Source organism: Homo sapiens, chromosome 11 (assembly GCF_000001405.40).
Source record: "Homo sapiens chromosome 11, GRCh38.p14 Primary Assembly".
NCBI classification, from domain to species: Eukaryota; Metazoa; Chordata; class Mammalia; order Primates; family Hominidae; genus Homo; species Homo sapiens.
The window spans coordinates 25623407-25648563 of NC_000011.10; the positions used below are offsets into that span (position 1 = coordinate 25623407).

General features: G+C 36.3%; 1 long non-coding RNA gene and 1 pseudogene across 2 annotated transcripts in view; both read left to right on the plus strand.

Annotated features, from left to right (window-relative positions):
• The window catches only part of LINC02699 (long intergenic non-protein coding RNA 2699), a 470852-nt gene that overhangs the window by 169807 nt on the left and 275888 nt on the right, over positions 1–25157 (plus strand). The window lies entirely within an intron of this gene.
• On the plus strand, positions 7314–7640 carry LOC107984367 (V-type proton ATPase subunit G 1-like; annotated as a pseudogene).

Sequence of the window (25157 nt, forward strand, 5' to 3'; positions counted from 1 at the left end):
GTTGGCAGATTCTGTGTCTGGTGAGAGTCAACTTCCTGGTTAGTTGACAGCACCTTCTTGACTTTGTCTTCATGTGGAAGAAGGAGAGATGGGTCTCTCTTGAGCTTCGTTTATAAGGACACTAATCCCATTACCAGAGGTCTGCCCTTATGACTTAATCATCTCCCGAAGACCCCCCTTCTCCTAATATCATCATCTTGGGGACTACAATTTCAACATTTAAATTGTGGATAGCACACACATTCAGACTATGGCAAAGTTTACAGATTTGTCATATGGGTCATGGCCTTAAATTAACAGAATGTAATTGAATAAAACACAAAAGCATGTAAATCTACTATATCAAGAGTCCAGACAAATCTATTTTTTTAACTTAACATGTTTTTGAAAATATTTTTTATAACTACATTACACTTAGAATTACTACCTGCCTATTTTGAGTGATGTCTTTTCCATTGAGGGTCACAGGTCAGTTCATACAGAGGTAAGGGATCTATAATGTCAGAAAGAAAGTGAAATAATCTCACATTTCAACAACTCTGAATGGCCTGTTCTAATTCACTTGGCCCATTTAATCCCTTAAGAATAATAAATGATTGCAACAAAACTGTTTTTTATTGACTATATGTTTGCAGAAGGTGAGAAAGTAGAAGGGAAGACAAAACTGAATAATTTTTCCAAACCATAAACTGTAGAATAGTAATACTGTCTATAAGGCCCTCGCAAAGTTCTGGGGCATCTTCTTGATGTTGCAGATAGATATCTCCATGATTTGTAGTGTTTTCATGTTGGTATGCAATGTATGTGACATCAACCTTCCATTCATGTAATGATTCCTTTAATACCTTCCTTAAGTAACTCCCCTCCATCCTGCTCCTGTGCTAGGCTCCTATAACTCCTATGGCATCCACTGTGAAGCAAGGAGTTAGATGTTGCTGCCAGAGGACAAATAAAATCAGAACCGATTTTATTCTTCGGTTTTGTGTTTAATTTTACCTAAATCAATGGTTTTAGTCTCCTTTGCCCTTACACATTGGACAAAGTTTAAAATATAAAGTTGTTCCACATTTTAAATTTTGCTCACATAATTAATCTGTAACAAATCGAAACCTCCTATCGGGTCACTTCCCTCTGCTTTTCCTAATCTCTGTAGTATGTGGGGTTTTGTTTGTTTTGTTTTGTTGCTTTTTTCCAGGCTGTCTACTATCCTGGAAATTTACAAGACTCTATTAGTGCAGTTTGCTCAAAGCCCCTGCTCTTCTAATCCGGCAAGGCGCCCATTGCCGCTCCTGATTGGGCTAGAGGCTCATGATTGTTGATGTGTGGCTAAGTGCCTGGGTTCATCCTAATTGAGCTGAACACTAGTCGCTGGGTTCCATGACATTTAAGCAATAGTACAGGCTAAAACTCTCCTCTAAAGAAAATTTGAGTCTCAACAGAAATGAACAAAGGCTAAAGGAGATAATATTGGTAGAAAGAAAATATTTGTCAAGGTGGAGCTCCATTGATTGGTTTAGTATTCAAGTACACAGCAGACAACAGAGGCAACACTTAAAGTTTTCTCTGAAGGTTTCCTGAAGGGACTGCTCACAGAAGTGCATACAAGGTCTCAGGTTAAAGTTAGACACACACTGTTGTAATCAAGTGAAAGAGAACCAACAGGCAGTGTGAAGTGGATAATAGCAGGAATCATCAAGACTTCATTACCACATCTAGAACTAAAGGAAAAGGGATGTGAGAACACAGTAAATGTAGAAAAGAGAGAAATTATGGAAAATAAGTCATCACGCATTAGACACACAGACACTGTCAAACCCACAGTAAATCAAGAAGGAAACGGCAGGGACAGAGCATGCGAATCATTGTGTCAATATTTCTCTCTCTCCACTTCTGATATCCTGCCAGTCTTTCCCTTTGACTGCTTGCATCCAGAGGGTGATGGAGCCCAGATAATGCAAAGTATAGAAGTTAGAGCAAGTTAGAGAGGTTGGTAAATAAATATGCAGTGTAAACAGAGAAAAAGTAGTGTATCTAATCCTGTTTTGCCAGTCAGCATACATTTATGTCCTTTACTTGGGAGAAGAAACTACCAGTTCTTCTGTCCTCCAAACAAGGAAACATGAAGTCCCATCAGCAACCACAATTATGATGGGATGATGTCAATTCAGTCACAGTTACAGCTAGAATTTAAATGATAAAATGAAATGCCACAAATACTTTTCATATAAAATTACAGAAAAATCATTCAAATGAATAATGGCAACAACAAAATTATAGCTGCTCTGATTCTTCATCTCTAGCAGGACATTAGGCTGAATTAGATCATCAGCTTCTTTTTTCCACTACTCATTTCACTTTACTCTTACCTATTGCAGGTTGGCTTCATAACTTTCTTAGTAGGACGTCACAAATCATCGTTAATCCTACACCTAGTTGTGTTGTCTCTTTGGGGGAACTGTAGACCCCATTGACAATTATTGTTTAGAAATAAATGTACTACAATATGGCCAGTGGATCCTGTATGCTCCAGCCATACTTCTCCTTGCCAGTACTGTAGAGCTGTGACCCCATTGGGTAATAAAAATAAATTGTTGCAGCCTGTACAATAACACTTTCAATGTGTCTTGTTTCAACTAACATGAAGGGACCAAAACACTTTACATTCCACTCCATGCTGGACACAGATTCAATTCTAAGCCTAGAATATTTTTTGCTTGAAATTCATATCATTTCTGTGTCTTCAATACCAAATATCTAATAACTATACCAACTGTGTGAGGCACTTCTGCTCTAGCTTCTCTTATGAAACTAGAGTTTTTTCACTTATTGTCATTCCAAATAGTAATTTATGATTTCATCTGAGACTTTTGATAGCATGTAAGAAATTAATTAACTTAGCATATAATATTATTTGTCAAGAATTATTTTATAAATTAGAATGGTTCATACTAGATAGTCATAAATTATTAATACATGGTGGGTGAATTAGTAGTGTGTGTGTATATTATATATACATACATATAATGCAGTCATAATATGTGAAAGAAGCTGTGTATTTTATAACGCTTAGGAACCAGGAACATTTTACATCATATGACTAAAACAGTGTTGCATTAATTATATTATTTTCTTGCATAATGTATAATATTGATATCCTTTTGTTTAATAATAAAACTGCAATGCAAAAATGGCAAATTAATTCTCATGGCCCTAATGGCCATAACACTTACAAATGGCAGAATAGTGACTTGAAGTTAGAACAGCTCATTTCAAGTTTTATTTTACTTTTAAAACAGTAAAAAGTTTTCTATCTACAGTGATGTTGATTGTTATTTCCTTAAGCCCTACACACAATAAAACTTTACAATTCAAAGGGAATTTTATTTAAAAGTTAATTTAATTTTACTTGCAAAGTGATTTGGACATTTAGAAAGAGAACTTGAGGCGAATAAACTTGAGTATCATGTCAGACTGGGGGTCTTTAATTGCTTTCATTCTACACAAAGGAACCTGAAATTTCCTGGAAGTAGAACTTTAATAGTTAGGAGATGCTCTATAAAAAATTGCCAAAGCTATAAATGGCAATACAGATGTGAGTCAATAAAGAAACAAACAATGATTTAAAACTGTATTTTAAAAACTGTATTTAGAGAAAATTGTTGAGTATTACAGCCACTTTTTTTGGAATAACTTTCATATACCCAATTCTTTTGGAAATTACAGCTGAGAAAATTGTATCAGTGTGAACCTATTTTATCCAGTTTTAAATGAGCATTGTAAAAATTAACATTTGGAAAAAAGGGCATTCTATGAAATTATTTGAATCTGCATCAGATAGGCTGTTGAAAAGCAACCTGATGTTTGAATCACTCTCCAGGCTGTATGGAATAATCAAATGCTATTTATATCCAAAAGAGCACACTCAAACAGACTGATAATAATAGTTTACTTTATTCAAGTGAGCTGTGTTTCTTCATTTATTTTCTTGTCTATCAGCAGTTATGCTCTCTCAAAGTACCTGTACTACCTCACTGGCAGGATAACTCAGAATGTAAATGTGGATAAATTACCAAGATACTGCCACTTACCCCAAAATTTGAGGTGTTCAGAGAACTAATATTGAGAAACAGGACTAGCTGCATTTCCTAGGCTAAGAATTCCTAAGCCTAGCTGTGGAAGGTGACCACACCCACCTTAAACACGGGACTTGTAACTCAGCTCACACCCTACCAATCAGGTACTAAAGAGAGCTCACTGAAATACCAATTAGCTAAAAGCAGGAAGTAAAGAAATAGTCAAATCATCTATCACCTGAGAGCACAGAGGGAGGAACAATGATTGGGATATAAACCCAGGCATTCAAGCCAGTTCGGACAGCCCTCTTTGGGTCCCTTCCCATTGTATGGGAGCTCTGTTTTCACTCTGTTAAATCTTGCAACTGCACACTCTTCCGGTCTGTATTTGTTCAGGCTCAAGCTGAGCTTTTGCTCTCTGTCTGCTGTGCTTCTCATCCAGCAAGGCACCCATTGCCACTCCCGATTGCGCTAGAGGCTCGCCATGGTTCCTACGTGGCTAAGTGCCTGGGTTTGTCCTAATTGAGCTGAACACTAGTCACTGGATTTCAAGGTTCTCTTCTGTGACCCACAGCTTCTAATAGAGCTATACCATTCACTGCATGGCCCAAGGTTTCATTCCTTGGAATCTGTGAGGCCAAGAAGCCCCGGTTAGAGAACAAAAGGCTTGCTGCCATCTTGGGAGCAGCTGCCATCATCTTGGGAGCATCCTGCCACCATCTTGGGAGTGGCCCACCACCATCTCGGCCCACCACCGTCTTGGAAGCGGCTTGCCACCATCTTGGGAGCGGCCAGCCACCATCTTGGGAGTTGGTAGCTCTAAGAAAAAAGACCCTCCAGTAACAGGTCTTTCCTATGATGTTCTCATGATAGTGAATAAGTTTCACAAGATCTGGTGGGTTTTTTGTTTTGTTTTGTTTCTTTTGAGAGGGAGTCTTGCTCTGTCACCCAGGCTGGAGTGCAGTGGTGCAATCTCAGCTCACTGCAACCTTCTCCTGGGCTCAATCGATTCTCCTCCCTCAGCGTCCCAAGTAGCTGGGATTATAGGCACCTGCCACCACACCCAGCTAATTTTTCTTCTTTAGTAGAGATGGGGTTTCACCATGTTGGTCAGGCTGGTCTTGAATTCTTTTTTTTTTTTTTTTTTTTTTTGAGACGGAGTCTCGCTCTGTTGCCCAGGCTGGAGTGCAGTGGCGCGATCTCGGCTCACTGCAAGCTCCGCCTCCCGGGTTCACGCCATTCTCCTGCCTCAGCCTCCTGCGTAGCTGGGACTACAGGCGCCCGCCACCACGCCCGGCTAATTTTTTGTGTTTTTTAGTAGAGACGGGGTTTCACTGTGTTAGCCAGGATGGTCTCGATCTCCTGACCTCGTGATCCGCCCGCCTCGGCCTCCCAAAGTGCTGGGATTACAGGCGTGAGCCACTGCGCCTGGCTGATCTGATGGTTTTATAAGAGGGAGTTTTCCTGCATAAATTCTCTCTTGTCTGCCACCAAGTAAGATGTGCCTTTTGCCTTCCACCATAATTGTGAGGCCTCCCCAGCCACATGGAACTGAGAGTCCATTAAATCTCCTTTTTTTAAAAAATTACCCAGTCTTGGGTATGTCTTTATCAGCATCATGAGAATGGACTGATACAATTTTCCTTATTAATAAGATAGGACATTTTATGTCTATTTGTATTAGGGAGGGTACAGTCAGAAGACAGAAGTACTCCATAATTTAAGAAAAATTAATATAAAGTAGTATTAAGTAGTATCAAGTCATTAATTCCTAGGAAGTAAAAATAAATATATGACAAGAATAGCAGAGACAGAGGGCAGCCAACACTGTGATGGCTGAGGCAGAGGGCCCAAGAGAGAAACAAACGTCCAGAGGACCACCCTCGATAAATAAACAGCTTGTTGGATAGAATGTGCCCACTGAATAGTGGAGAAGTTTAGGAAGATCCAAAAAAAGTGGGCCTGGCAAGCAGCAAACCGCTCATTGTGATGCCAGAGGAACTCATTGAGACACTGCCTGCTGGAAATGGGTGATACAAGATGCTCCACACACCACTGGCTACTGAATTATGCAGCCCCTAGAAGAGAGGAGCACATTTGAGGTAGTAAGACAAACCCTTTTCTTCTTCAATGTTTCCTCTTTACCCTTTAATAACAAAGCACAATATTGTGCCATCCGGCAAAGGAGAACCGTTTATAAAGTCCAGGTCTGGTATCACAAAGCCAAGAAAAGGAGGTCAAATTTGGATCAAAGAATAAATTGGTAACTAGCTCTCCATCTCAAAAGGATGTTTTTATAAATCAAAGATAATAAGAGACTTTGAAAATTACAAGGATAGTTATAAATGTAAGATGGCATTATCTGTCTGCCATTCAACTGCAAAGTCTTTGTAGCGTACAATGTACTGCTTTTTGTTTGATATGGCCAGAGTATATCAGAAATATACTTGTCACTTTATTTTAATTCATTTAATCATTCATTTGTCCTTCAATTCAAAAAATAGCTATTGATCAACAACTGTATTACATTTATTGTCATTCATAAACCAGCACATTTACTAATCTCTTAATTCAACATACTTTTTGACTCCAACTATTTGCAAGCATTGTTCTGAACACTGAGTGCCCATTAATGAATAAAATAATTATTTTTTTAAATCTATATCTCATGGTCATAAGAAGCTGAATTTCTGACTGAGGTTGGAACAAGGGTAAAAGAGAAAAATAAATAAGTAATTGATTAGAGCTAAGTGAAACAGAAAAACTGAGCAAGGAAAGGGAATAGAAATTTGAAAGAAGCCACAGATATATTTGTAGGAGGAATAATGTAGACACTTGGGAGAGGAATATGTTTAATATATGAGAAAAAGCAAGGAGTGCCCTATGGTATGGTTTGTGGAGGGAGAGTGATAACATTTGATGTCAGTGAGATCTTGGAGATGATATCATGGAGGGCCATTCAGGCCATTAGAGCTTTTTAAATTCCCTTTGAACACGCCATTAAAATGTTCTGAACCAAGGGTGATGTTAGTTGTATTCTAAAGCAGTAACTTCAACGGATGTATTGAGAACAGACTAATAAGAAACATGTAAAAATGGAAAGAACAGTTAGAAGGCTATTATAATAATCCAGGTAAAATATGCCAGAGAATTGGACTAAGCCAATAAGAAGGTCATTTATAAGCTTTTTTTTCATTATTATTATTTTATTTTTAAGAGATGGTATCTCAGGCTGCTGCCATGGCAAGTCAGTTGCAGGTGATCCAGTAGCTGTTGCAGGCAGAGGTGATGGAGGCCCACAAGCCAAATAAACAGAGGCTGACCCAGGCCAAAGAAGCTAAGGCTGAAATTGAACAGTACCTCCTGCAGAGGGAGAAGAGTTAAAGGCCAAGAAACCCATTCACTGGGATCATAGGGCAGTTGCAGCACTGAAGTGGAGGAGACCTAGGAGAAGATGATCATCTTCCAGAACTACTTCAGGCAGAACAGGGATGAAGGCTTGGGTCACTTGTTGGTCTTTGAGACATCCAGCCAAAAATCCATGAAATCTACTCCATAAATGGATAAGAGAAGAAAGATGCATCTCTTCCATAGATTGTCATTTTAGATGTCCTCATGGAATATGATGCTTGAGCACAGCTTGAGTTTTATTCTTATGAAAAGGCATTAAATTATTTCTGTATTTTATAGTAGGTCCCATCATTCTTCAAAGAGTATCAAATCTAGCCTCTGTACAGACTTGGAACTTATTTAGAGATTTAATCTCTTTTTTTTTTCTTTGAGATAGAGTCTTGCTCTGTTGTCCAGGCTGGAGTGCAGTGACTCAATCTCAGCTCACTGTAACCTCCGCCTCATGGGTTCAAGCAATTCTCCTGCCTCAGCCTCCAGAGTAGCTGGGATTACAGGCACACACCACAATGCCCAGCTAATTTTTTTTTTCTTTGTATTTTTAGTAGAGATAGGGTTTCACCATGTTGGCCAGGCTGGTCTTGAACTCTTGACCTTAACTGATCCACCCGTCTCAGCCTCTCAAAGTGCTGAAATTACAGTTGTGAGCAACTGCACCCAGCAAGATTTAGTCTTTTTATCTCTTGTTTCTTAGAAATTTAATGGGTATATGTTGTCTGTTTTCCTATGCCTTTTTGCTCAAGCAACATATATAATGATGTTGACTTTCTGTTTCTTAGATTTAGTAAAAGGAATTCTTTGAAGAAAGAAAGAGATTAATTTTTTCTCTCTAAAGCTTTCTTGAAGGTCAAGAACTTTATCTGTGTAAAACTAGTAAATAGGTTTTTGTAACCTGTGTGAAGCAGCAGCCAGCCTTAAAGTTGTTAATTCCTACTAATGGCTAGAACAATGAATACTAATATGATTGGGCTGCTTTTAATTTCTCTTAATCAAATTATTAGATGATAGAATTCAGGAACTTGTTACATGTTATTACTTTGTGTACTGATCATCATTCAAAAGTCAAGACTCTGTCATGCAAAAAAAAGAGAGACAGATGGAATCTCAGGGCCTCATTCTATCACCCAGGCTGGAGTGCAATGGCAGGATCATAACTCACTGCAGCTTCCATCTCCTGGGCACAAGAAATCTTCTTTCCTCAGCCTCCTGAGTCACTAGGATTGCAGGCACAGGGCAACATGTCTAATTTATAAGTATTTTTAAAAGTATCTTGTGTTATGTAATATTTATCTTGACTTTATTAATGAAGGTTTTAAGTGTACCTATAAGATAATTTTGGTCAACATGTTAAGTAAACATTCAAAACTTATTCAAAAAAATGCTAGCTTTCAAATAGTAAATTTTATAGGGGAATAGTGTCTTTCTTCAAACAAGTTTTGAACATTGTTTTTTTGTTTCTTTCCATAAACGACTTTAGCATTTAAAAACATTAGAATACTAATTTATAAAGTTTATTTAAATCAAGACTATATTTTATGTTATAACATTGTGTTATATGTGACAGACACATCACAAATTAGTTCATACAAAAAGGGGCAAGGATATTGACATACATAATATAAATTTCCAGGGGGAGAACCAACTTCAAGCTCAGTTGGATTCAAAGTAGCAAGGATGTCATGAAATTTTTATTTTCAACTTTGTATTTATGTTTCTTTACATTGCCTTTTTCTCTATCAACTTTTTCTGAAGTGCACTTATCTAGAGTTGTGACAAAGATGTCTACTACCTCTTACTTCTCACTACCTTTATAAGCAAGGTAAAAAGTGAGTACTTCTTCCTCAACAATTCTAGCAAAATTTTTAGAATCAATTTAGATTGTCCTCATTTCACCATTACTACCAAATAATAATATAACTATAGAGATATAATTCTTATTGACCAGTTCTAGATCAACTTCAACATCAAGCAGACTGGGGGGAGGCTCAACCTCAGCAAAACCAAATAAACTGAAAAGTGGATCCGAAAATGAATGCTGCATATATAGTAAACTAATGTCAGTTATGGATGCCTGTTACTGAGCAAATGAGATAGCTGAACAATGTGCATAGAAGCCAATACTGTAGCACTAGCTGTGGAGAAGAGAAAGGTTTCATTGTGAGACTGGCCAGCAGGGAGACAGGAGATATGGCTCAAATCTGTCTCCCTGATTTTGGGTCTAGCACAAGTTTTAAGGGGTCAGAGGGCAAGGGAAAGGATTTAGAAATGTTGGCTTGGGAGGATGTGATTGGAAGGCTTCAAATTTGATCATTTACAGTAAAGTGTGTTGAGGTGAATTTCTTGGGGAGGTTACCTAGTTTCTGGATGTTGTTAGATGTCAAAGCTTTTTCTATTGTACATGCCCAGGCTACAAGACTTGCAATTTTGGCTGTTATACCTAGAAGATAACTTGACATTCTTTTAGCAATAAAGTTTGGCCGGTTTTGGTTGGTGCTGTGATTTCACAACTTAATTTTATATACAAGGAAGCAGAGGGCCAGAAAGATGAAGAGATTTGCCTTAGATCACAAAGTGAGTTTACTTACAGAAGGTAGATGATGTCATTACATTTATGCCATTAAGCTTTTCATTATCCCAATGTGTCTGTCATAGAGATTTTTTAAACACCTAATATCACAATAAAACCATTCAGTTTTGGGAAGGAAATGTAATAATTTATGATCAATGCTTTTAGAACAATTAAAAGTCAGTTAAAAGAGTAAGATTATGTTCGATCTCAATATTCAGTAGGAGTATTATGTTTGACTTATGTTTGATTCAATACTCAAAATAGAAGGAAATTAATTACTTTAATAAAAATATTTTTGTGTCTTAAAAATCATCTGAAATTTATTTCAAAAACATGTATTAGAAAATGTTTTTAAATATGTAACTATAAATCATTGTCATTAATCTTAAACACAGTCTTATACCCAAATTATTTTTTCTATTTATATGCATCTAATTTTCTTATCAGAAATAAAATGTGTCAACACTATTGAGTTACACATAAATGATTTACTTTGTACAGATATTTTTAAAACTTGCATGAGTGAGACTGTCCCAAAATCTAATAAGGATAACTTTGTAAAAAATTATAGAGTGATCTTATCTACGTGTACTGATGCAGAAATCTTAAATATTATCAAATAGTATATAGTTTATCAGCAATATTTAAATGTAAGTATTTTAACATACTTAAAGAAAAAGCAAATCATGTTCCTGGAAGAGATGGTTAAATATTGATGTTTATTAATTTCTTCAGCTTTCTTAGTCAACATAACACAATATAAATTCAATCAGAATAATATTTTATTAATTTAATAACAAAACATAAAATCAAATTGAAAAATAGATTAAAAAGAAGCCGAAAAATGAAACAAAACAAAATTTAAAAAAATATACTAGCCTCAATGTAATTTTTAATTAAAGAATAGAGAAGCAGCAAAACAATTTGTTGATGATACTAAAAGAAGTATAGACGTATGTATTAGGATACAGATTCTTGAAATACCCAAATTTACATGGAAAATTAACAGAAAATTGGTAAAAAGAATAAAAACTCTAAAAAGGAAAAAATGTAATAAGTGTTCTAGTGTAGCTGGATAAGGTGGGGAAGGTAATTTAGAGCTACAATTTCTGCCCCATTCAAAAGAAGATTTAGGTGGGTTTGAAGAATAAGTATTTTTAACATATAGAGACAGTTAATCAAGGTGGATAGATGACAGGTAGATAGCTGTAGAGATATTCTACAGCAGAATTTTTTAAATTGAAATATTGTATACTGGTCCTAATTGGTGCTACAGAATGAAAAAATCACTGGGGAAATGCTTTGAAAATACTACTATAACTCTCAGAAATTCACAGCGTACTACAACATACTAAAGAAGAGGAGAATACAAATACAAATACAAATATTTAGTTTTGTTTATCCTCTCACAACATATTTATAGTACACTTTTTCATTACATTTATCTTGTTTTGTTGCAAGTATCAAGAAAAACAATATTTGAGAAATATTAAACTAGAAGTACAATCACAGTTTTTTTTTATTCTTTTTTTAATTTTTTTTATTATTATACTTTTAAGTTTTAGGGTACATGTGCACATTGTGCAGGTTAGTTACATATGTATACATGTGCCGTGCTGGTGCACTGCACCCACTAACTCATCATCTAGCATTAGGTATATCTCCCAGTGCTATCCCTCCTGCCTCCCCCCACCCCACAACAGTCCCCAGAGTGTGATATTCCCCTTCCTGTGTCCATGTGATCTCATTGTTCAGTTCCCACCTATGAGTGAGAATATGCGGTGTTTGGTTTTTTGTTCTTGCGATAGTTTACTGAGAATGATGATTTCCAATTTCATCCATGTCCCTACAAAGGACATGAACTCATCATTTTTTATGGCTGCATAGTATTCCATGGTGTATATGTGCCACATTTTCTTAATCCAGTCTATCATTGTTGGACATTTGGGTTGGTTCCAAGTCTTTGCTATTGTGAATAATGCCACAATAAACATACGTGTGCATGTGTCTTTATAGCAGCATGATTTATAGTCCTTTGGGTATATACCCAGTAATGGGATGGCTGGGTCAAATGGTATTTCCAGTTCTAGATCCCTGAGGAATCGCCATACTGACTTCCACAATGGTTGAACTAGTTTACAGTCCCACCAACAGTGTAAAAGTGTTCCTATTTCTCCACATCCTCTCCAGCACCTGTTGTTTCCTGACTTCTTAATGATTGCCATTCTAACTGGTGTGAGATGGTATCTCATTGTGCTTTTGATTTGCATTTCTCTGATGGCCAGTGATGATGAGCATTTTTTCATGTGTTTTTTGGCTGCATAAATGTCTTCTTTTGAGAAGTGTCTGTTCATGTCCTTCACCCACTTTTTGATGGGGTTGTTGTTTTTTTCTTGTAAATTTGTTTGAGTTCATTGTAGATTCTGGATATTAGTCCTTTGTCAGATGAGTAGGTTGCGAAAATTTTCTCCCATTTTGTAGGTTGCCTGTTCACTCTGATGGTAGTTTCTTTTGCTGTGCAGAAGCTCTTTAGTTTAATTAGATCCCATTTGTCAATTTTGGCTTTTGTTGCCATTGCTTTTGGTGTTTTAGACATGAAGTCTTTGCCTATGCCTATGTCCTGAATGGTAATGCCTAGGTTTTCTTCTAGGGTTTTTATGGTTTTAGGTCTAACGTTTAAGTCTTTAATCCATCATGAATTGATTTTTGTATAAGGTGTAAGGAAGGGATCCAGTTTCAGCTTTCTACATATGGCTAGCCAGTTTTCCCAGCACCATTTATTAAATAGGGAATCCTTTCCCCATTGCTTGTTTTTCTCAGGTTTGTCAAAGATCAGATAGTTGTAGATATGCGGCATTATTTCTGAGGGCTCTGTTCTGTTCCATTGATCTATATCTCTGTTTTGGTACCAGTACCATGCTGTTTTGGTTACTGTAACCTTGTAGTATAGTTTGAAGTCAGGTAGTGTGATGCCTCCAGCTTTGTTCTTTTGGCTTACGATTGACTTGGCAATGCGGGCTCTTTGTTTGGTTCCATATGAACTTTAAAGTAGTTTTTTCCAATTCTGTGAAGAACGGCATTGGTAGCTTGATGGGGATGGCATTGAATCTGTAAATTACCTTGGGCAGTATGGCCATTTTCACGATATTGATTCTTCCTACCCATGAGCATGGAATGTTCTTCCATTTGTTTGTATCCTCTTTTATTTCCTTGAGCAGTGGTTTGTAGTTCTCCTTGAAGAGGTCCTTCACATCCCTTGTAGTAATGCTGGGAGATTTTGTCACCACCAGGCCTGCCCTAAAAGAGCTCCTGAAGGAAGCACTAAATATGGAAAGGAACAACCAGTACCAGCCACTGCAAAATCATGCCAAAATGTAAAGACCATCGAGACTAGGAAGAAACTGCATCAACTAACGAACAAAATAACCAGCTAACATCATAATGACAGGATCAAATTCACACATAACAATATTAACTTTAAATGTAAATGGACTAAATGCTCCAATTAAAAGACACAGACTGGCAAATTGGATAAAGAGTCAAGACCCATCAGTGTGCTGTATTCAGGAAACCCATCTCACATGCAGAGACACACATAGGCTCAAAATAAAAGGATGGAAGAAGATCTACCAAGAAAATGGAAAACAAAAAAAGGCAGGGGTTGCAATCCTAGTCTCAGATAAAACAGACTTTAAACCAACAATCACAGTTATTGAAAAAAATCAAAACAACACTTAGTAGATTTGAAAATGAATGCATACGAATTTTGGGGAATGTAAAAGATCTTAATTCAAAATACACTTTATGGAGTTAATAGCCATGACTTTTTGTTCAATATAAATATCTAGAATATAGCTTACTTAATAATTACTTACTCTCTGTTGAATGAATCCAAATAGTTAACCATCAAGCCATTCACAAGAGAAACAGGAATGATGAATTTTTTCATTTAAAACTACAGAAGTTCTGCTGATATTAATATATGGACAGAATATACTGACAGAATGTAAAACATTGCCAAGCCTACAATAGGCAAATAAAAGGCATAAATAAATAATTAATACAAGATATAGTAATGCAAAATAAACAAATTTATAAAGCAAGCTTCAACCACTCTAACAATTAAAAAACTTTAAAAAGTTGTAAATGAAGTACTATTTTCCATACAGTATTTTAGAAAAAAGATAATAAATAATTGTGAAATTAAAGTAAAACTGATATATTCATACATGGCATATGACATACTAATCATTTAGACATCAACACATTAGCGTATATAAATATATACATATGTATTATGTCTATGATTATACTAAAAAAAGTATCCTAATGAAATATTTCAAAAACAGTAAAATATTCAATAAAATGCTAATGATATATATATATATATATATTATATATATATATAGACTCTCCAGTTCTTTATTAGGATATATTTCCAGAATTAACTTTAGAGAACTAATTATAAATTCTTTTATGCTGGTAAAGCAATCTATCTTGGAGAATTCCCTCTACCCTAACATACAAATTTATCTGGACTTGTGCATAATAGTATCCATCCTTGTAGTGTCATTATCAAACTGAGCATGAAAATGTTACCCCAACAGAATAAACTTTCATATTTAATATTCAGATGCTGGAAAAGAAATGATCTGTTTCTTTTCTAGAGTTATGAGCTGTGGATACATTCTAAGCTGAAGCTTCTCACATTCATCTTTCCTGAACTCAAGGAGGAAATGATTGCATCCATTAATTAATACCTAGAGGAAAGCGGAGTCGAGGGAAAAATGGAAAGTTAAAAGCCCGGAAACAATTGAGCCCTTAGATCTAGCAATATCTGAAATAAAAGGTTATGGATATTTTCTGTTAGCTCTCACATATCCATTCATTGCCATCCCTCCCTTTGCTTTTCTACTTCAAGAGGCTCACTTGTACAGACTACATTAATGCACTTATTTTTCACATGGCTTCTAATTGGATTTAGTCAAACAAGCTAGCAACCAGAGACAGGAAGGTAGGAAGCATGAGGTCAAGCTAAGTTTCCCCTCTATTCCATTCCTCCTGGATCACTAAGGGTTTTTTATTAAAGTTCACAGCTAGTGCCAAGCGGCAGTCTTAATTCAAAATTTCAGTGGGATATGGTAACTGCTCCCTGCCATGTTCCTTGTAAATGTCCCTAAATCCTGCCTACACATTTGTAAAAATCCCTTTATTAAACTTTTTTATAAATTATCAAATTTGAATATACTATCACTTTGCTCTGAGGACCCTAAGATATAAAACATGTGAATCCCTATATTTCTGAATTATTAAACTATAAATTCCCCTTTTGGTTATAAGTTGGGGACTGTCTCTTGTAATTCAATATCATGTAAATAAATAGTCCTTCCTAATATGTAAATAATTATGTCATAATAATGAAATTTTGGAAAGAAGAGAATATGGCCAACAAAAGAATAGGTAAGCAATCAGATTGCTAATATTTATAGATTATCATGATGTGAAAAGCACTGACCTTGATCAGTAGAAATTTTGCTGAAAAAGACAAACCATGAAATATCCCTTGTGGTTAGAAATTTTGGTTTTACTATGGTCAAATTGAGAAGATTGCTCAGTTTTAAGCAAGACACTGATAGGATTTATAGCGTAGAAATGCCACTCTGTCTACATAATGCCACCGTGTTTAAAGAATGAGTGTTTGAATGAATTTCTAAAGGCACAGATGAAGTGGCAGTTCAGAGAAGACTGTCCTACAGGGTGCAGTATATACAGTAAGTCAGAAACCTCTACTTGGTGGTGTGTGCACAATAGAAAGTACATAAGAGTCCAAAGACCAATGAGTCAAAGAGTGGCATGACTTCCCATCATTCTCAGTGACTAATGGGGAATGATGTACTCTCTATCCCTAAAATTCTGGGGACTTCAGGATTACAGGTTCTGGTCACAAACGAAACATACATTTTCTAGGAAACACAAGAAAGATTCCTTCAACTAGAAATCTACGATTACTACTTAAGCAATTTAGACTCCTTTAATCAGAGAAGCAGCATGCAAGGAATCACCATTGTTGTAAGAATAATTGACCCAGATAAGCCAGAGAAGTTAGAGTTTCTATTACATAATGGGGTCTGAGAAGACTATATCTAGAAAACAGGTTGTTCACCTGGGTACCTCATGGTAATCCTTTGTCCAACTGAGACAGAATGGTAGATATAACAATCTAGAGAAAATAAAAAGTATGATGAACAGTTTCTCAGAATTTTCCAGAATGAGGATTTGAGCCACATCACCAAAATATTTATTTAAACCAACAGAATGTTGGTTTAATGTTTTAATTTCTATAAACTCTCAATGTTTATAGAAATTAAGAATGAAAAGTGGATGAAAAGAATAACAGGTACAAATTATGGCCCCCAAATCAACCACAGTGAGAAGGCTGTAGTTCAGCCCACTCATCTCTAAGTATCTCCTCAGAAAAAAAAGCCAAGAAAGTCTGAAGGAGCTTATGCCCAAATATTTTTAGAAAAGTGAATTAATTCAATGCAACAGGTGAATGGTAGCATTGGAGAAGACCCACATTTTTATATTCTTTAAGAAATAATCTGTGCTGTTCCAGTAATGCAGTTAGTTGGCAGTCTCCAGCTGGAATTCAAAATCCACCTCCATATTCTAGCCAAGGGCATTGTCATTCCAGGCAGCCCTGCACCATTTCTATCCTATACCTTCTCTAATAGGCTAACTTTTCTCTAGAGCTCCATGTTGAATTGACCAACACATTTTCAGATCGACATCATCATAAGAGGCTCTCCTCACCCATTCCAATTTCTCCCTTTAATTTCACAACTCTGTCATTGTCTGAAGACCTTTCTTGTTCAGTATGGCTTTCTCCCACTTTTATCTTTCATAGGAAGCATCTGCCAAAGAGCTTTTACACTCCTTTGTATTCATGCCTGTTCTTCAGGGACTCAACTGACACAGAAAATGCTTTAAAAGAATAAACATATAATAATTCAGGAAACACAGCAGATAGTTGTTGAGGGAAAGTTCATGAGTTAAAAAAAGAAACAACAGAGCCCAGTGTTTATTTAGGTAGAAGCAGGGACAATGGTGTAACAGGAGGGCAACATCAATTGCAGAGACTATTATAACATCAAATAAACTATGATAAAGAAATTAGATGAAATGACTTTTTAAAATTAAAAATGTCATCTGTAATATTTAACTAAAATATAAAAAAAGTATGTGTTTTAAGATATTAGCAACATGTATGTAAATGAACATGACTAAAGAAAAAATATGACTTTTATTCTGTCTGGAAGTTAATTACATGAATTAATATTTCCCAGGATTTGTATAATATGTTATTCTTCTCTAATTACTCTCCAGCGAACTCTCTTTGAGCTATTTGAAGAATGAATAGTTATAGGCCTAACAAAGGAGTTTAAGTAGTTCAGTAAAATTAAAATTAAAATTAATTTCTCCATAGTGCAACTGATATATAAAACAGATGATTTCACAGAATGAAAAGAGACATGTATCAGTAGTGTTTTTAATGATAGAATAAATTGCTTATTTTTAATTTTCAATTAATACAATTTGCAAATATGAAATATGTTTCGAGTCTGTAAAATAAGTGTAAAAGTTTCTAATGTCTTTGTTGCTAAATGTCCAACATTTTTCTTTTTTAAATGATAGATAATTTCCTTTTATGCATATCTAGATAAATTTTTGGTGAAGAAGCCAGTGTGTAAATATCTTTCATCTGTAGTGACTAAGGTAGGCCCATATAAATTGTATTCCTTCATGCAGTATAAAAGGGCCTCTAATAATGAGTGAAATCAATGTTAATGAAAATACATATACTTTTTAAAATTTCTTATCAAATAGAACCTGTGATGTCCATTCAAGAAATTAGAAGTAATTTTTTTCTTCCCATTTCACATCCAATAGATGCAAATTTTCTCATGCATTAAATGTTTTTTCTCTGGCTTTTCTTTTCTTCTTTTTTAATACAAAAAAAAGTGAGCCTGATCACTGCCTTAGATCAGGCTCACTTTAATCATCATTAGAAAAATAAAAACAATTTCCCCTTGCCTCCTTTCCAGCTCTCTTCAAAACTCTCCTCCTCAATGTTTAAGATTCAAGTAATATTTTTTTTCAATTTTCACATCTACACAAGTTTCATTACATAAAAGCATTTTTAAGAACTTTTACAATGCAAATCTTCATGGTGGCAAAACAGGCACCTGCCTGCAGCCCATTCTCCAGCTTTAACAGGAGGTGGTCCAGGAGGAGAAGAAAAGGACTTGATCAAAACTCCTTATATACATACCACTAACAGACATCCTGATAAACACACTTATGATATTACTAACTGGAAGTCCTCTATAGAATGCTTTTACCATGATGTACATAGTCTGTCTAGGATTCCTTATGGGAAACATACCTAAAATTGATGGATTTGTTGTGTGTGGTTATATGGAAATATTACTTAAGCTATGGACATATTAGCATAAAAGTGGAGAGATTTCATTACTTAAATAGATTCCTTGTGTACATTTGATGCTCATCATGTATCACTTACAGACCTCAGATGTAAAATCTGAGCCAGATACATACTAATGTGGCAAAAAAAATGGGGAAAGTAGCAGAAGGTGCCCTGTATCCTAAAAATTTGAAGTAAAGCTGGATACTTGGTAAGAATTCTGATTCATATGTCTCTGGTTTAATAATATGGCTCTTTGTGTTATCTCAGGTATGAAAATATTAAAATATGATTGTACCCCTTCAGCCCTGGTCTCTAGACTAAACACTTGTATGTGTTTGGCAGGTGATTTTCCTGGCTTAATTCCAAGATTAAACAAGTGAGCCAGCGTTTTATTCCACATGTTTTTACAATTAAAACTCCTATAAGTAAACCTAATTATTAATTATTTAATTAACTGGATCAATATTCGTTAAGTTGAATCTAGATGAAAATTTGAATCTTATTATGGAAACACATATATGGCCTTAGCCATGAAACCATATGGTTTGAGTGACTTCATACTTTCTTTTTTGTATCAGTGAGTGATATAATAAGAACATTTAAAAAGTCCTGTGATTCTGATAATGTAGTTGGTGAAAGGGAAATAAAGATAGTACAGCAAGAACAGTGTCCTGCCTCAAACTTCTTCACTATCTCAGAAGTGGAAGACGGTATAATGTTGTGGAAACTCTGGAAATATAATAGGAAAAGTTTCTGTACTTTATAATATATTATATATATAAAAAGTGTATATATACATATATACATGTATATATATATAGCATATATATGTATGAATATATATAGAGTGTGTGTGTGTGTGTGTATATATATATAAATATATATATATATATATGAAAACACACCATATATGTATTTTTGTCCACAGTTTCTGGCTCAAAGCTCCCATGGCCCTTGTTATAGTCATTTGTTATAATATTGAGTTTGTTAGGCCTTAGGCGAAGGTCTCAGAAAACAATCTCTCTGACCTTCCTCTGCTCTCCTTTCACCTGCCTCAAAGCTGGACTCTAATCTTACCCTGCCTTTCTAATTTTGGGTCTTACTACCATCCCCAGAGAGGGTCCTGCCTTGCCCTGGGAGAAGGAATGCTGACATCAGGAAGTTTCTATAAAAATCCAAAGGACTGGGTTCAGGGACCTTCTGAATATCCATCTGCTCAATGTGGAGGCTCTAGGATGATTGGCCTAGGGAGAGCATGAAAGATCTGCATCCCTTCCCCCATATCTCACTCTATTTATTTCTACATCTCTATCCATTACAATATCCTTCATAATAAATGGGTAAATGTAAATAATTGTTTCCTTGATTTCTGCTCCAGCAAATTAAATGGTCAGCTGCTCCAGCAAATTAAATGAACCCAAAGAGGTTCATGGGATTACCAACTTGAAGCCAGTCAATCAGAAGTTCCAGACTATTTTCCACCATTTGACACTGGTATCTGAAGGGGTGTGTGTGTAGGTAGGGGTGGACAGTCTTGAGGACTGAGCCCTCAACCCAAGGGATGTAACAGTATCTCCCAGTAGACAGCATCAAAATTAAATTGGAGGACATCCAACTGGTAACTGCTGCTTGGGGTGTGAGAAAAAAAATCTCACACATTTGGTCATAGAAGTCTTCTCACACATTGTTGTTCTGGTGGTGTGAGAGTAGAGGAAAAATAGCTTGAGGGTTTTTTCTACACAAAGCCCAATCATGTAAATCCTTCTTGGCCAATTGACTTACCCATACTCTAATACAATGTTATTAATTCTTTTTTTTTATTGTTTCATTAGCTGCTATTTTTTTTTTTACTTTAAGTTTTAGGGTACATGTGCACAATGTGCAGGTTAGTTACCTATGTATACATGTGCCATGCTGGTGCGCTGCACCCACTAACTCGTCATCTAGCATTAGGTATATCTCCCAGTGCTATGCCTCCCCCCTCTCCCCACCCCACAACAGTCCCCAGAGTGTGATGTTCCCCTTCCTGTGTCCATGTGTTCTCATTTTTCAATTCCCACTTATGAGTGAGAACATGCAGTGTCTGGTTTTTTGTTCTTGCGATAGTTTACTGAGAATGATTTCCAATTTCATCCATGTCCCTACAAAGGACATGAACTCATCGTTTTTTATGGCTGCATAGTATTCCATGGTGTATATGTGCCACCTTTTCTTAATCCAGTCTATCATTGTTGGACATTTGGGTTGGTTCCAAGTCTTTGCTATTGTGAATAGTGCCACAATAAACATACGTGTGCATGTGTCTTTATAGCAGCATGATTTATAGTCCTTTGGGTAGATACCCAGTAATGGGATGGCTGGGTCAAATGGTATTTCTAGTTCTAGATCACTGAGGAGTCGCCAAACTGACTTCCACAATGGTTGAACTAATTTACAGTCCCACCAACAGTGTAAAAGTGTTCCTGTTTCTCCACATCCTCTCCAGCACCTGTTGTTTCCTGACTTTTTAATGATTGCCATTCTAACTGGTGTGAGATGGTATCTCATTGTGGTTTTGATTTGCATTTCTCTGATGGCCAGTGATGGTGAGCATTTTTTCATGTGTTTTTTGGCTGCATAAATGTCTTCTTTTGAGAAGTGTCTGTTCATGTCCTTTGCCCACTTTTTGATGGGGTTGTTTGTTTTTTGTCTTGTAAATTTGTTTGAGTTCATTGTAGATTCTGGATGTTAGTCCTTTGTCAGATGAGTAGGTTGCGAAAATTTTCTCCCATTTTGTAGGTTGCCTGTTCACTCTGATGGTAGTTTCTTTTGCTGTGCAGAAGCTCTTTAGTTTAACTAGATCCCATTTGTCAATTTTAGCTTTTATTGCCATTGCTTTTGGTGTTTTAGACATGAAGTCCTTGCCCATGCCTATGTCCTGAATGGTAATGCCTAGGTTTTCTTCTAGGGTTTTTATGGTTTTAGGTCTAACATTTAAGTCTTTAATTCATCTTGAATTGATTTTTGTATAAGGTGTAAGGAAGGGATCCAGTTTCAGCTTTCTACATATGGCTAGCCAGTTTTCCCAGCACCATTTATTAAATAGGGAATCCTTTCCCCATTGCTTGTTTTTCTCAGGTTTGTCAAAGATCAGATAGTTGTAGATATGCGGCGTTATTTCTGAGGGCTCTGTTCTGTTCCATTGATCTATATCTCTGTTTTGATACCAGTAACATGCTGTTTGGGTTACAGTAGTCTTGTAGTATAGTTTGAAGTCAGGTAGTGTGATGCCTCCAGCTTTGTTCTTTTGGCTCAGGATTGAATTGGCGATGCAGGCTCTTTTTTGGCTCCATATGAACTTTAAAGTAGTTTTTTCCAATTCTGTGAAGAAAGTCATTGGTAGCTTGATGGGGATGGCATTGAATCTATAAATTACCTTGGTCAGTATGGCCATTTTCATATTGATTCTTCCTACCCATGAGCATGGAATATTCTTCCATTTGTTTGTATCCTCTTTTATTTCCTTGAGCAGTGGTTTGTAGTTCTCCTTGAAGAGGTCCTTCACATCCCTTGTAAGTTGGATTCCTAGGTATTTTATTCTCTTTGAAGCAGTTGTGAATGGGAGTTCACTCATGATTTGGCTCTCTGTTTGTCTGTTGTTGGTGTATAAGAATGCTTGTGATTTTTTGTACATTGACTTTGTATCCTGAGACTGCTGAAGTTGCTTATCATCTTAAGGAGATTTTGGGCTGAGACAATGGGGTTTTCTAGATATACAATCATGTCATCTGCAAACAGGGACAATTTGACTTCCTCTTTTCCTAATTGAATACCCTTTATTTCCTCCTCCTGCCTAATTGCCCTGGCCAGAACTTCCAACACTATGTTGAATAGGAGTGGTGAGAGAGGGCATCCCTGTCTTGTGCCAGTTTTCAAAGGGAATGCTTCCAGTTTTTGCCCATTCAGTATGATATTGGCTGTGTGTTTGTCATAGATAGCTCTTATTATTTTGAGATATGTCCCATCAATACGTAATTTATTGAGAGTTTTTAGCATGAAGGTTATTGAATTTTGTCAAAGGCCTTTTCTGCATCTATTGAGATAATCATGTGGTTTTTGTCTTTGGTTCTGTTTATATGCTGGATTACATTTATTGATTTGCGTATATTGAACCAGCCTTGCATCCCAGGGATGAAGCCCACTTGATCATGGTGGATAAGCTTTTTGATGTGCTGCTGGATTCAGTTTGCGAGTATTTTATTGAAGATTTTTGTGTCAACATTCATCAAGGATATTTGTATAAAATTCTCTTTTTTGGTTGTGTCTCTGCCCGGCTTTGGTATCAGGATGATGCTGGCCTCATAAAATGAGTTAGGGAGGATTCCCTCTTTTTCTATTGATTGGAATAGTTTCAGAAGAAATGGTACCAGTTCCTCCTTGTACCTCTGGTAGAATTCAACTGTGAATCCATCTGGTCCTGGACTCTTTTTGGTTGGTAAGCTATTGATTATTGCCACAATTTCAGCTCCTGTTATTGGTCTATTCAGAGATTCAACTTCTTCCTGGTTTAGTCTTGGGAGAGTGTATGTGTCGAGGAATTTATCCATTTCTTCTAGATTTTCTAGTGTATTTTCGTAGAGGTGTTTGTAGTATTCTCTGATGGTAGTTTGTATTTCTGTGGGATCGGTGGTGATATCCCCTTTATCATTTTTTATTGCATCTATTTGATTCTTATCTCTTTTTTTCTTTATTAGTCTTGCTAGCGGTCTATCAATTTTGTTGATCCTTTCAAAAAACCAGCTCCTGGATTCGTTAATTTTTTGAAGGGTTTTTTGTGTCTCTATTTCCTTCAGTTCTGCTCCGATTTTAGTTATTTCTTGCCTTCTGCTAGCTTTTGAATGTGTTTGCTCTTGCTTTTCTAGTTCTTTTAATTGTGATGTTAGGGTGTCAATTTTGGATCTTTCCTGCTTTCTCTTGTGGGCATTTAGTGCTATAAATTTCCCTCTACACAGTGCTTTGAATGTGTCCCAGAGATTCTGGTATGTTGTGTCTTTGTTCTCATTGGTTTCAAAGAACATCTTTATTTCTGCCTTCATTTCGTTATGTACCCAGTAGTCATTCAGGAGCAGGTTGTTCAGTTTCCATGTAGTTGAGCGGTTTTGAGTGAGATTCTTAATCCTGAGTTCTAGTTTGATTGCACTGTGGTCTGAGAGATAGTTTGTTATAATTTGTGTTCTTTTACATTTGCTGAGGAGAGCTTTACTTCCAAGTATGTGGTCAATTTTGGAATAGGTGTGGTGTGGTGCTGAAAAAAATGTATATTCTGTTGATTTGGGGTGGAGAGTTCTGTAGATGTCTATTAGGTCCGCTTGGTGCAGAGCTGAGTTCAATTCCTGGGTATCCTTGTTGACTTTCTGTCTTGTTGATCTATCTAATGTTGACAGTGGTGTGTCAAAATCTCCCATTATTAATGTGTGGGAGTGTAAGTCTCTTTATAGGTCACTCAGGACTTGCTTTATGAATCTGGGTGCTCCTGTATTGGGTGCATATATATTTAGGATAGTTAGCTCTTCTTGTTGAATTGATCCGTTTACCATTAAGTAATGGCCTTCTTTGTCTCTTATGAACTTTGTTTGTTTAAAGTCTGTTTTATGAGAGACTAGGATTGCAACCCCTGCCTTTTTTTGTTTTCCATTTACTTGGTAGATCTTTCTCCATCCTTTTATTTTGAGCCTATATGTGTCTCTGCCCGTGAGATGGGTTTCCTGAATACAGCACACTGATGGGTCTTGACTCTTTATCCAATTTGCCAGTCTGTGTCTTTTAATTGGAGCATTTAGTCCATTTACATTTAAAGTTAATATTGTTATGTGTGAATTTGATCCTATCATTATGATTTTAGCTGGTTATTTTGCTCGTTAGTTGATGCAGTTTCTTCCTAGTCTCGATGGTCTTTACATTTTGGCATGATTTTGCAGTTCCTGGTACCGGTTGTTCCTTTCCATGTTTAGCGCTTCCTTCAGTTTCTCTTTTAGGGCAGGCCTGGTGGAGACAAAATCTCTCAGCATTTTCTTGTCTTTAAAGGATTTTATTTCCCCTTCACTTATGAAGCTTAGTTTGGCTGGATGTGAAATTCTGCGTTGAAAATTCTTTTCTTTAAGAATGTTGAATATTGGCCCCCACTCTCTTCTGGCTTGTAGAGTTTCTGCTGAGAGATCTGCTGTTAGTCTGATGGGCTTCTCTTTGAGGGTAACCCAACCTTTCTCCCTGGCTGCCCTTAACATTTTTTCCTTCATTTCAACTTTGGTGAGTCTGACAATCATGTGTCTTGGTGTTGTTCTTCTCAAGGAGTATCTTTTTGGCGTTCTCTTTATTTGCTGAATCTGAATGTTGGCTTGTCTTTGCTAGATTGGGGAAGTTCTCCTGGATAATATCCTGCAGAGTTTTTTCCAACTTGGTTCCATTCTCCCCGTCACTTTCAGGTACACCAATCAGACGTAGATTTGGTCTTTTCACATAGTCCCATATTTCTTGGAGGCTTTGCTCGTTTCTTTTTTTTCTTTTTTCTCTAAACTTCCCTTCTTGCTTCATTCCATTCATTTCATCTTCCATCGCTGATACCGTTTCTTCCAGTTGATCG